This window comes from Homo sapiens, chromosome 12 (genome assembly GCF_000001405.40).
Source record: "Homo sapiens chromosome 12, GRCh38.p14 Primary Assembly".
Taxonomy (NCBI): Eukaryota; Metazoa; Chordata; class Mammalia; order Primates; family Hominidae; genus Homo; species Homo sapiens.
Genome location: NC_000012.12, coordinates 31,940,851 through 31,953,654, shown reverse-complemented (window position 1 = coordinate 31,953,654; position 12,804 = coordinate 31,940,851). Strand labels below are relative to the sequence as shown.

General features: G+C 44.6%; 1 pseudogene, besides 2 other annotated features; it reads right to left on the bottom strand.

Annotated features, from left to right (window-relative positions):
* Positions 846-1,347: an enhancer, noted in NCBI's record as "NANOG hESC enhancer chr12:32105242-32105743 (GRCh37/hg19 assembly coordinates)". NCBI's record gives its function as "activates a minimal SCP1, AML or CMV promoter by ChIP-STARR-seq in primed H9 embryonic stem cells {active_cell/tissue: H9 hESC(primed)}" and the evidence as "EXISTENCE:reporter gene assay evidence [ECO:0000049][PMID:30033119]".
* Positions 4,573-4,773: a silencer, noted in NCBI's record as "peak1659 fragment used in MPRA reporter construct". NCBI's record gives its function as "represses an SCP1 promoter by STARR-seq MPRAs in K562 erythroleukemia cells {active_cell/tissue: K562}" and the evidence as "EXISTENCE:reporter gene assay evidence [ECO:0000049][PMID:32103011]".
* RPL12P32 (ribosomal protein L12 pseudogene 32) lies at positions 4,784-5,409 on the bottom strand (annotated as a pseudogene).

The window sequence follows — 12,804 nt, the reverse complement described above, 5'->3', positions numbered from 1 at the left end:
CTTGGCTCAGATAAGGGATTTTCTAGCACCTAGCCACGCAGGTCAGCAAGTAAAAACAAACCCAAGGAGAGGGACTTTTGTTGCCGGAAATTCTGATAGGGACCCCACTCCTATACAGCCTAAGGAGGGCTTAGTGTCCGTTAGGATTTAATGTCTGGGAAGCATTTGGGATAAAGTAGCTGATCTCTCTGCCATGTATCCTTGTCTGTACTTGTGCTGATTTTATCCTCTCTCTGCTAGGTAAGTAAAGGTTGTCTGATTTTTCCAAAAGTGTTTGATCTTTGCACAGTCTTAAAGTACAAGTGATATTCATCAATAGAGTAGTCTTAAATGGTCACCAGTAAGAAACTTGCAAAGGGAGAATGCAATCTCATGGACCTGAAAGTTTGTTTACTCAAGAGCCAAGCTTTACACTGTCTTCTCTCTAAGAGATTTACAACCTAGTGTGCCAGAAAGCCTTGTCAACTGGTCAGGCTTGGGAAAGATTCCCCTCATAGATTAGATTGCTCCATACTATGCTCCCTTTCATAAATTACGGGATCCTCTCCCTATGTTTCCCAGCATTCAAAAACAAAGGCTCTCTTAGATGCTATCTGAGTCTTTCATGAGCATAGTACTTAGCCTTAAGGCTTGTTAAGTCTTTTTTTTTTTGAGACGGAGTCTTGCTCTGTCGCCCAGGCTGGAGTGCAGTGGCAAAATCTCGGCTCACTGCAACCTCCATCTCCCAGGTTTAAGCAATTCTCTGCCTCAGCCTCCCGAGTAGCTGGGATTACAGGCACCCGCCACCAGGCCCGGTGAATTTTTTGTATTTTTAGTAGAGATGGGGTTTCACCATCTTGGCCAGGCTTGTCTTGAACTGCTGACCTTGTGATCCACCTGCCTTGGCCTCCCACAGTGCTGGGATTACAGGCGTGAGCCACCGAAACTGGCCAAGGCTTGTTAACTCTTAAACTTATAAAATATGTTTTAGAAAATGTTTTAATGACATCATTAACATATCTATAGTAAAAGTTATTTTGGTTTGCAAAAAAAAATGCCTATTCATTTAAGTTGTAAATGAGGTCATTAGTTCTTTTTCTTTTCTTGATTGCTCCCTATAATCTGTTTCCCGTTCTTCCTTTTTTTTTGAGATAGACCCTCACTCTGTCATCTAGGCTGGAATGCAGTGGCATGATCTTGGCTCACTACAACCTCCGCCTCCCTGCTTTAAGCGATTGTCCTGCCTCAGCCTCCCAAGTAGCAGGGATTACAGGACCGCACCACTACACCTGGCCAATTTTGTATTTTTAGTAGAGATGGGGTTTCACCATGTTGTCCAGGCTGGTCTAGAATTCCTGACCTCAAGTGATCTGCTTGCCTCAGCCTCCCAAAGTTCTGGGATTACAGGCATGAGCCACCACGCCAGGCCTCCCCTTCTTTTTTGTTTCTTTCCCCTTCTTGTTAGTAATGGTTAGCTGGGTACAAAGTCAGTTTGTATGTAGTCACTTGGAATGTAAGTAGAGATTATATTCCCCCAAGTCTCTCTTGCAGCTAGATGTTGTCAAGTTTCAGTTCTCATAATGACATATAAGCAGAAATGTTATATGCAACTTCTGCCTAAGGGAATGGCTTACCGTGAAACTCTTCTTACATTTGCTTGGATTGGAATGTAGAAATGGCAGTAACTTAATTTCAACCATGCAAAAAAAAAAAAAGAAATAACTCCTGAGGGCAGGAACTCTTCTCTGTTTTTTTGACCATAAACCTCTTTGGTAGTTTGGTAGAGCCCATGGACACCTTCTTAGAATCTTTTTTTTTTTTTTTTTTTTTTTTTAAGACGGATTCTTGCTCTGTCACCCAGGCTGGAATGCAGTGGCACGATCTCAGCGACAACCCCTGCCTTCCAGGTTCAAGAGATTCTCATGCCTCAGCCTCCCTGAGTAGTTGGGATTATAGGCATGGGCCACCAAGCCCGGCTAATTACAGACAGGGTTTCACCATGTTGGCCAGGCTGGTCAGAAACTCCTGACCTCAAGTGATCCACCCGTCTCGGTCTCCTAAAGTGCTGGGATTACAGGCATGAGCCACCATGCCTGGCCAGAATAATCTTTTGAATGCATAAAATAAAATATGTGAGATTACAAAGGAAATTAATTCAAAATGAAAGTTATCAAATATTTTAAAAAATCAAATATGTAAAATGTGGTTAGGCTCTGTTTCCCCACCCAAATCTCATCTTGAATTATAATCCCTATAATCCCCATGTGTCAAGAGAGAGACCAGGTGGAGGTAATTGGATTATGGGGGTGGTTTCCCCCATGCTGTTCTCGTGATATTGAGTGAGTTATCTTGAGATGCGATGGTTTTATAAGGGACTCTTCCCCCTTTGCTCAGCACTTCTTCCTGCCACCTTTTGAAGAAGGTAGCTTGCTTCCCCTTCTTCTGTCGTGATTGTAAGTTTCCTGAGGCCTCCCCAGCCATGTGGAACTATGAGTCAATTCAATCTCTTTGTAAATTACCCAGTCTCAGGCAGTTCTTTATAGCAGTGTGAAAACGGACTAATACAGTATTTATACATTTCTTTAAAGGGGAGAAGGCATGTGGGAAGGAGGGGGTAGGGTGGTGAGGCAAATGGTTATACTTTTGTGGAACTATTAATTAATTAGAGCTCAGTAAATCTACATTTTATACAGATAAGGTGATTATATTATAAAGAATTCAGAGAAAAAGGGAGTAGAGGAAGAATCAATTATGCAAACATCTCAGGGTAGGTGGAGGAATGATTTGTTCTGCTCCTGGGAAGATCAGCTTGTAATTGACATTATCAGTGTGACTCTAGCAAACTTTAGTTTTAGGAGCTAGACTTAGATGGTAGACCTAAAGTTAAAATGGACATGGTTCTTGTTTTATGGGAGGATGTACATCTTGAAAGGTTTTGAGGCCAGCAAAGAGTTTAGTTGGGAAAAATTTATGAGGGCCATCATGTGGAGATGGTATCAGACCTTCTGCCTTTCTGTGAGGGTCTGGGTAATGTATGATGCTTTGACACCAGGTTGTAAAGTAATAGCTGTCTATTTGGGAAAAGGATAGCAGTGCTGCATGACCCAGCACTGCTGCATAACAAGTTTGGGGGTCCTAAGATGTTTTTATTTCTCCTTTACAAGTCACAGGGACTGCTCAGCTGAATGAGCCCTGCTTCCAACCGTCTCACAACTTTGAATCATCACCTCAGCCTTTTTTTTTTCTTTTTTATTGAGATGAGTTCTCACTCTGTTGCCAGGCTGGAGTGCAGTGGTAAAATTACGGCTCACTGCCGCCTCAACCTCCCAGGCCCAAGAGATCATCCCACCTCACCCTCCAGGGTAGCTGGGACCACAGGTGTGTGCTAGCACGCCTGGCTAATTTTTGTATTTTTTTGTAGAGATGTGGTTTTACCATGTTGCCCAGATTGTTCTTGAACTTCTGGGCTTAAGTGATCCACCCACCTCAGCCTCTAAAAGTGCCATGATTACAGGTGTGAGCTACTGTGCCTACTTAAGCCTTTTTTTTTTTTTTTGAGACTGAGTCTGACTCTGTTGCCCAGGCTGGAGTGCACTGGCACAGTCTCAGCTCACTGCAGCCTCCACCTCCCGGGTTCAAGCCATTCTCCTGCCTCAGCCTCCTGAGTAGCTGGGACTACAGGTCCGGGCAACCACGCCTGGCTAATTGTTGCATTTTTAGTAGAGACAGGGTCTCACCATATTGGTCAGGCTGGTCTTGAACTCCTGGCCTCAGGTGATCGGCCCTCCCAAAGTGCTGGGATTACAGGTGTGGGCCACTATGCCCAGCCCCACTTAAGCCTTCGTTACCTTTATTGTCTTTGGTATAAGCCTCTGGATATGATTTGTTTTTACTACTCAAGGTTCTCACAGATGACCTGGGCTCATAGTTCCAAGAGAATTTTGGGGCCTGTGTATTTATTTCTTCTTTGTTCTTTTTATTTGAATATGAGCTCAATGTTGTGCGGTAAATAGAATTAAATATTGGATCCTATGGCAGAATCTTACTAAGGACATTCTAGAACTTTAGTGGCTGTTCTGGTGAACTTTGGATGTGAATAAGATAATCTGTTTTTGGCACCTTACAGTCAATGGTTAAATGTTCCCAGATATTCAATAATTAGCGTTTTTAAATGACCAGGAAGAGTCCTCTCAAAGGAAAATTCTAAAATAGCTTCTATTAAGGACTTATTAGAAAAGGCCAATAAAAATATAGAGGACCTAAAAGCCAACGTTTAAATCTCTTCTCCATCTCTTGCCTAACCCGGGATTAACTTACATCCTAGACCCCTGGCCCTCAACTTCCTCCTGCCTTTCTATTGGGGGAGCCCACCCCCAATATTTCAATGTAGGTTCTTTCTATTTTGCATAAGTGTTGGCTGGCTGAGAAATAAAGAGAGACAGTACAAAGAGAGGAATTTTATAGCTGGGCTGCCAGGGGTGACATCACATATCAGTAGGACTGTGATGCCTGCCTGAGTCTCAGACCAGCAAGTTTTTATTAAGGGTTTCAAAAGGGGAGAGGGTGTAAGAACAGAGAGTAGGTACAAAGATCACATGTTTCAAAGAGCAAAAAGCAGAACCGCTGATAAGAGTCTAACAAAGATCACATGCTTCTGAGGGAACAGGGCAAAGGGCAAAAGCAGAACCACTGATTAGGGTCCAACAACGATCACAGGGCAAAGGGCAAAAGTAGAACCACTGATAAGAGCCTATGTTCAGCGGTGCACATATTGTCTTGATAAACATCTTTTTTTTTTTTTTCTAGTTGTCAAATGATTCTTTATTGAAATATTTTCCTTTGTGCTTAACTGGCTGGGCATTCCACAGCACCACTGTTGATGTCATCTATGATGTCATGAGGGTAGTGGCCATCAACATTACAGCCCACAGACTGGGCAGTCCCCAGGATCTCTTTAATGGTTCCAGAGAGTTCTCTGGCTAAGGATCAGTGCCGCATCTGTCAAGCAATGTTGACGATCTCATCAAAAGTTATATTCCTACTGTGTTTAATGTTTTTCTATTAATTTCTGTCTCTTGGTGCTTCCTTGAGGGCTTTGATGATCAGGGCAGAGGCAGAAGCCACCACCTCAATCTGGGTCTGTCTGTTCTGAATGGTCAGGTTGACTGTAATCCTCAGGCCCTTCTAGTCACCTGTTTCCTTGGCAATGTCATCACCAACCTTTTTTGGAGACAGACCAGGGGGCCGATCTTGGGGGCCAGTGCAGAAGTGGCACTGACTTCACCTCCGGTGCACCTCAGGTATACGACTTTGATCTCATTAGGGTTGAACTTCGGTGGCATGGTGGAGGCGGCTGGTGTCAGATGAACCTGGATTTGGGATGACTAAAGAAAGTTGCACCTTGGCCTCCTCTGAGGTGAAAGCTGAGAGTGATGAAACATCTTAAACAACAGAAAATAGGGTTTGAGAGCAAAGAACCAGTCTGACCACAAATTTACTAGCGCTGAGTTTTCCCAACCCTAGTAAGCCTAAGGATTCTGCAGGAGAGGAGGGCTTATCTCAGTCCTTATCTCAACTGCACAAGACAGACATTCCCAGAGTGGCCGTTCATAGACCTCCCCCCAGGGATGCATTCTTTTCCCAGGGTATTAATATTAATATTCCTTGTTAGGAAAAGAATTTAGCGATATGTTTCCTACTTGCATGTCCGTTTATAGGCCCTCTGCAACAAGAAAAATATGACTCTTTTTGCCCAACCCCGCAGGCAGTCAGACTTTATGGTTGTCTTCCCTTGTTCCATAAAAATCGCTATTATTCTGTTCTTTTTCAAGGTGCACTGATTTCATATTGTTCAAACACGTTTTACAATCAATTTCTACAGTTAACACAATTGTCACAGTGGTCCTCAGGTGACGTATATCCTCAGCTTACGAAGATAACAGGATTAAGAGATTAAAGTAAAGACAGGCATAAGAAATTATAAAAGTATTATTTCAGAACTGATAAATGTCCATATTAAGATGAAATCTTCACAATTTATGTTCCTCTGCCACGGCTCCAGCAGGTCCCTCTGTTCGGGGTCCCTGACTTCCCATAACACCTTTCTTTGACTCATTCCCTTCCTGCTGTGTCTTCCTTAGGTCCTCTTCGCTTTCCTCCATTACTCCTTCCTAAACACCCCCCTTTCACTGGACAGTATCCCTTCGTGATGCCTTACACCTAAGTGATGATGACAACCAACTTAGCTAAGCTTATTGTTTTAAACCTTGGTCAATTTCAGGTTTGCATAATCTAGTTAAGAACCTTCTAAATCCTCCTACGTAAAGAGAAAAATTCATTGAAGGATTTAGGATTATTTTAAGAATTTATAGGATGGAGGCCTGGTGCAGTGGCTCACGCCTGTAATCCCAGCACTTTGGGAGGCCAAAATGGGTGGATCACGGGGTCAGGAGTTCAAGACTAGCCTGGCCAATATGGTGAAACCCCATCTCTATTAAAAATACAAAAATTAGCAGGGCGTGGTGGCACATGCCTGTAGTCTCAGCTACTCAGGAGGCTGAGGCAGAAGAATCGCTTGAACCCGGGAGGCGGAGGTTGCAGTGAGCCAAGATCATGCCACTGCACTCCAGCCTGGGCGACAGAGCAAGACTCCATCTCAAAAAAAGAAAAAAGAATTTATAGGATGGATACTGTAATCTCTATCCATGAGTTTATCTCCTTACAGAATTCAGAGATGATGAAACTCTTATATAATTAATGGATCTTCTCTTATGCTCTCCAGATAGAAGATCTTGAAGAATTTTTATTTTATATATATATTTTTAAGAGACAGGATTACACCATGTTGCCCAATCTGGTCTCAAACTCCTGGGCTCAAGCTGTCCTGCCTCAGCCACCCAAAGTGCAGGGATTACAGGTGTGAGCCACGGTGCCCGGCCAAATCTTGAAGAATTAGGGACATAACTTCTCAAAGGATAAATCCAGTTTTGTTTTGTTTTGTTTTTGAGATGGATTCTCACTCTGTCGCCCAGGCTGGAGTGCAGTGGCATGATCTTGGCTCACTGCAACCTCCGCTTCCCGGGCTCAAGTGATTCTCCTGCCTCAGCCTCCCAAGTAGCTGGGATTATAGTCGCCTGTGACTGCGCCTGGCTAATTTTTGTATTTTTAGTAGAGATGGGGTTTCACCGTCTTGGCCAGGCTGGTCTTGAACTCCTGACCTCGTGATCTACCCACCTCGACCTCCCGAGGTGCTGGGATTACAGGTGTGAGCCACTGTGCCCGGCCATAAATCCAGTTTTATCAGACTAAAGTGAATTATCTTGATCATGACATCATCATGCAAAAGGGAAAATCTCTTTTCCTTCAGAGAAAGGAAGCTCTTTATGATTTTACCTGGCCAATTACCAGAACATAATTTAGAGAATTTCTTGGACTCGTGATATTGTAGACACTGGATTCTGAATTTGTCTATACTGGCTCCCCCTTTCTATAATCAAAACTAGTTGACACACCTGAGTTCTTGTCCCAAATAAACTCACTACCCTTGAATTCCCTAATTGTTATAAACTCTACTTTCTATTTGTGTATAAAAAATCAGGAGAAATTTTAGAGGTGTTAACAGCATGATGGACATCAAAGACCCGTTTCTTGTTACATCTTCTCATTTGGCCCCGTAGCAGTTGCCTACCCTCTTTGGGTACTTACAGCTGCAAAGTTAACTAAAGCCACTGAAGACTTAATCTTAGTAGCTTCACTTAACCTCATTGTCATGCCATTCAGACCTTATTGTTCTTTTACTTTTTAGAGATGGAGCCTTGCTATGTTGCCCAGGCTGGTCTTGAACTCCTGGGCTCAGCAAACCTTCCATCTCAGCCTCCTGCATAGCTGGGACTACAGGCAAAAGCCACTGTGCCCAGCTCAGCCCTCATTCTTGAATGAAAACACCACTTTTCTGCCTCTAGATTTGAGGCAGGAAAATAGGGTCTAGAGGCAGGGAACCTAAGGCCGATTGCTGACTGGATATCAGAGACTACTCCCTTTACAACCCCTCCTTTTTCTGCATGGCAGTTGAAAAATGAAGGTACAGCCAGGTGCGGTGGCTCACACCTGTAATCCCAACACTTTGGGAGGCTGAAGCTGGCGGATCACCTGAGGTTGGGAGTTTGAGACCAGCCTGACCAACATGGAGAAACCCCGTCTCTACTAAAAAGGCAAAATTAGCCGGGCATGGTGGTGCATGCCTGTAATCCCAGCTACTCAGGAGGCTGAGGCAGGAGAATGGCTTGAACCTGGGAGGTGGATGTTGCAGTGAGCTAAGATGTCACCATTGCACTCCAGCCTGGGCAACAAGAGCAAAACTCCCTCTCAAAAAAAAAAAAAAAAAAAAAAAAGGAAACGTGAAGGTACTTCTGATTGGTCCCCTCCCGCATCCTATCAGACTGGTTCTTGGCCACTACTTTATTTGCATAGAACCAACGGGAAACCTCTAGAGGGTATTTAAACCCCAGAAAATTCTGTAACCGATACTGTGAACCACTTGCTGGAGATGGCTCCAACCCTGGGGAGTGTACTTTCATTTAAAATAAATCTCTGCTTTCACTGTCTTGCTTTGTGTGTTTGTCCAATTCTTTGTTTAAAATGCCAAGAACTGGGACAGCTACCCTCAACTGGTAACATATTTTGGTGAGCCAGCCAGGAGGTAAGCCCAAAGTTTGGGATTTATTTTTCTCTTTTTCCTCTTTCTCTTTCTCTCTTCCTTTCCAATTTGGGATCCTTGGTGGACAGCGCCTAAGCATGGAGGCAACAGCATGTTTCTGGCCAGGGCCACTCTCCAGTGAAACTGAAAGGTTTCCATGTGGAAGCGCCTGACCGCCACCAACTGGCTTGAGACCAAGTCCTTTACTTTTTCGGTCTTTCAGCGGCCATTTTCTAGTAGACTGTTGGTAATTGAAGGCAACTGGCTGGGGCCAGTCTCTGGTGTAACCTGAAGGCCAAGGAGTGAATGGGGATGGCTGCCTTGCCTGGAACGGGGAAGGACTCTTTTCTATCTTTTCTGGTTATAGTCCCTGATCCCTATGTGTGACGTAATTGGCAGTGGAAGCTCACCCGGGGCTAACTCATACATGTTTCAGGTGACTTAAACCTTCTTTCCTTATGCTGAATTCTTTCCTTCCCTACTCGACTGGCTAAGGACAAGTCAGAGGGCTTGGGCATGTTGTAGATGGTCTGTGTGAGTCATGGGGGTGGATTCATAAGAGGGAATTTATATACAATTTAATCTTGCCTAAATGTAGAGAGTTAAATAATTGTTTTAAGTGGGATAGGAAAAAAAATCCAAAGGTTTGACTACAAATTAATTCTAGAAGTCAAGGCCTTCATCCAGGGACAAGAGGGAAAGCTCATAGTGGGCCATCAGTGGTGGAGGGAACCATTCCAAAGTGGTGCTAGCACCCATGTGAGTTTAGCGACATCTGACAGGCTAAGATGGGGCCCTTAAGGGTATGCCCCCTGGGAACCCCAATCAGGGGCCAGAATTTTTCCAGGGGGATACCCCAGCTAAAATTTCGGTTACTTAATGAGCCCTCAACTTTTCAAAGTTCTCTTCTCTTTTCTAGACCACTATGGGCAACTCTCCATCAATTCCACCTGATTCCCCACTTGGCTGCATCCTCTGGGATTGAAATCAATTTGACCCTGACAATCTAAAGAGAAAACGTATGATTTTTGTTTCTCCAATACTGTTTGTCCCCATTATAAGCTCCCCAGCCTGGAACAATGGGTGGTCAATAGTAGCCTTAATTATGACACCATCCTGCAATTAGACCTGTTTTTTAAAAGGCAGGGCAAATGGTCAGAAATCCCATATGTATAGGCCTTCATGGCCCTATACCAAAACCTAATAATTCCCCCACAGGGAAGTCCAAAGGCAGAACTAGATATTATAGATGACCCCCTTTTACAAGGGCCACCTGTCTCTCAGGGTGAACAGCAACTGCCTCCATATAGCCGCTTGCCAAGTGTTCCTGAGGCTAAAACCCAAACACTGGGGACCCTACTCAGTCCCCCTCACACTCGGAGGGGAACAGCACATTCAACTCTCCCTCCAGCCCTGCTACCCCTTAGGAAGTAGCAGAAGCCAAGGGGCCAGTCCTAGTGCAGGTCCCCTTCTCTATAACTAATATACAATAACATAAGGGAAAGTGAGGAAGCTGTTCTGAGAATCCCAGGAAATTCATAGATGGGCTCCAGACTTTGACCTTAGCCTTTGATCTCTCATGGAGGGACGCTCAATTCATTCTAGCAATCTGTTACACCTCCTTTGAAAAGGAACACATCCTTGAGGCTGCCCGCCAGGAAGCAGACAATTTATTTGCCCGAAACCCTCAGGGCAATCACCCAGGACCAGACACAGTCCCTACTACTGATCCTAACTGGGACTATAACACACCCATGGGAATGAACAACTGGGCTAAATTTCTTTAGGCTCTCCTTGGAGGAATGAGAAAGGGAATAACTAAAGCAGTAAATTATGATAAAGTAAGGGAGGTTACACAGGGAAAGGAGGAAAATTCAGCCATGTTTCATGGCAGGCTGGAGGAAGCTTTTAACAAATACACTAATCTGGACCCTTCTTCTCCCAAAGGCAAAATAGGAATGGCACAGCATTTCATTAGCCAATCTGCCCCAGCCGTTAGACATAAGCTCCAAAAACTACAGATGGGGCCACAAACTAATCAAAATCAGCTTCTTGATACCACCTTTATGGTTTATAACAATCGTGACCTGGTGGAAGGAAAAAGGGAGCAAAATAAAACGGCAAGCAGGCTGGGCACAGTGGATCACACCCGTAATTCCAGCACTTTGGGAGGCCGAGGCAGGCGGATCACCTGAGGTTGGGAGTTCAAGACCAGCCTGACCGACATGGAGTAACCCCGTCTCTACTAAAAATACAAAATTAGCTAAGCCTGCTGGCACATGCCTGTAATCTCAGCTACTCAGGAGACTGAGGCAGGAGAATCACTTGAACCCAGGAGGCGGAGGTTGCGGTGAGCCAAGATTGTGCCATTGCACTCCAGCCTGGGCAAGAAAAGTGAAACTCTGTCTCAAAAAAAAAAAAAAAAAGAAAAGAAAAGAAAAATGGCAAGCCAAAATTATGGAAGCCATCATTGGCGATGCTGTGAATGCCCAAAGAGTGTCCAAAGGAAACCAGAAGAGCCATAAGGATAATGCCAGCAAGGGCTCTTGCTTCAAATGCAAGAAAGCTGGGCATTGTGCAAAGAATTGTACTAAGCATATGCCAGGCCCTTGCCAAAAACGTGAGGGTACTGGTTATGACCCCTGGCACTGGAGGATTGACTGCCCCAGTTCCCACTGAGGGGCTCAGTCAGTCAAAGCTCTAGCAGTACAAAAGGAGGAATTAGATGAGGAGCCCCGGGTAACTCTGGCTGTGATGGGCCCCCAAATTCAGTTTCTTTTTGATACAGGAGCAAATTAGTCTGTCCTTACTGCTTGTGCAGGAAAACCTTCCTCCCAGTCAATGAGTGTTATGGGAATGGAAGGAAGGCCACAAACAAGCTTCTTCACTCCTCCTTTGATTTGTCAATTTGAGAAACAATTTTTCCAACAGGAATTTCTAGTAGTACCAAGCTGCCCAGTCCTCCTGTTGGGAAGAGATATTATGGTTAAAATAGGGGCACTACTACAATTTAAGCATCACCCAGTGAAATTGCTAATAGTCAAAAATACAATGTCCCAGACCACATTAATAAACAGGCTAACCTGCTAGCATGGTATACTGGGAAACCGGGGAAGGCTAAAACAAAAGTGCCAGTCAAAACACAGCTTAAAGACCCCAGCTATTTTCCCAATTGAAAATAATACCAAGCCAGGGCTGGGCGCAGTGGCTTATGGCTGTAATCTAAGCACTTTGGGAGGCGGAGGTGGGTGGATCAAGAGGTCAAGAGATCGAGACCATCCTGGCCAACATGGTGAAACCCCATCTGTACTAAAAACACAAAACTTAGCTGGGTGTGGTGGTGCACACCTGTAGTCCCAGCTACTCAAGAGGCTGAGGCAGGAGAATCACTTGAGCCGAGGAGGCGGAGGTTGCAGTGAGCCGAGATTACGCCACTGCATTCCAGCCTGGTGACAGAGTGAGACTCTGTCTCAAAACAACAACAACAACTACAAAAAAATACCCAGCCAGGCATGGAGTCTCATGCCTGTAATCCCAGCACTTTGGGAGGCCGAGGTAAGTGGATCACCTGAGGTCAGGAGTTTGAGACCAGCCTGGCCAACATAGTAAAACCCCATCTGTACTAAAAATACAAAAATTAGCTGGGCATGGTGGCACATGCCTGTAATCCCGGCTACTCAGGAGGCTGAGGCACAAGAATTGCTTGAACCCAGGAGGTGAAGGTTGCAGTAAGCCGAGATTGTGCCACTGCACTCCAGCTTGGGCAACAGAGTGAGACTCTGTCTCAAAAACAAAAACAAAAATAAGAAACCAATTAAGCTGGAAGCAAGAAAAGGCTTCATAGTTAAAATAGTTGAGCTATCCAGAGCTGAGATATTACTTACCCATGGGCTCTGAAAACCCTTCAATTCTCCTTGCAACATCCCCATCTTACCTGTTCTAAAGGCTTTGAGGGAATACCAGCTAGCACAGGATCTCAGAATAATTAATGAGGCCATTATCCCTGGCCATCCATTGGTGGTGGATCCATATATACCCTCTTGGCTCAGGTGCCAGGGGATGCAAAATAGTTCTCAGTCCTAGACCTAAAAGATGCTTTCTTCTCCATTCCTCTGCCCCCAGAGTCCCAA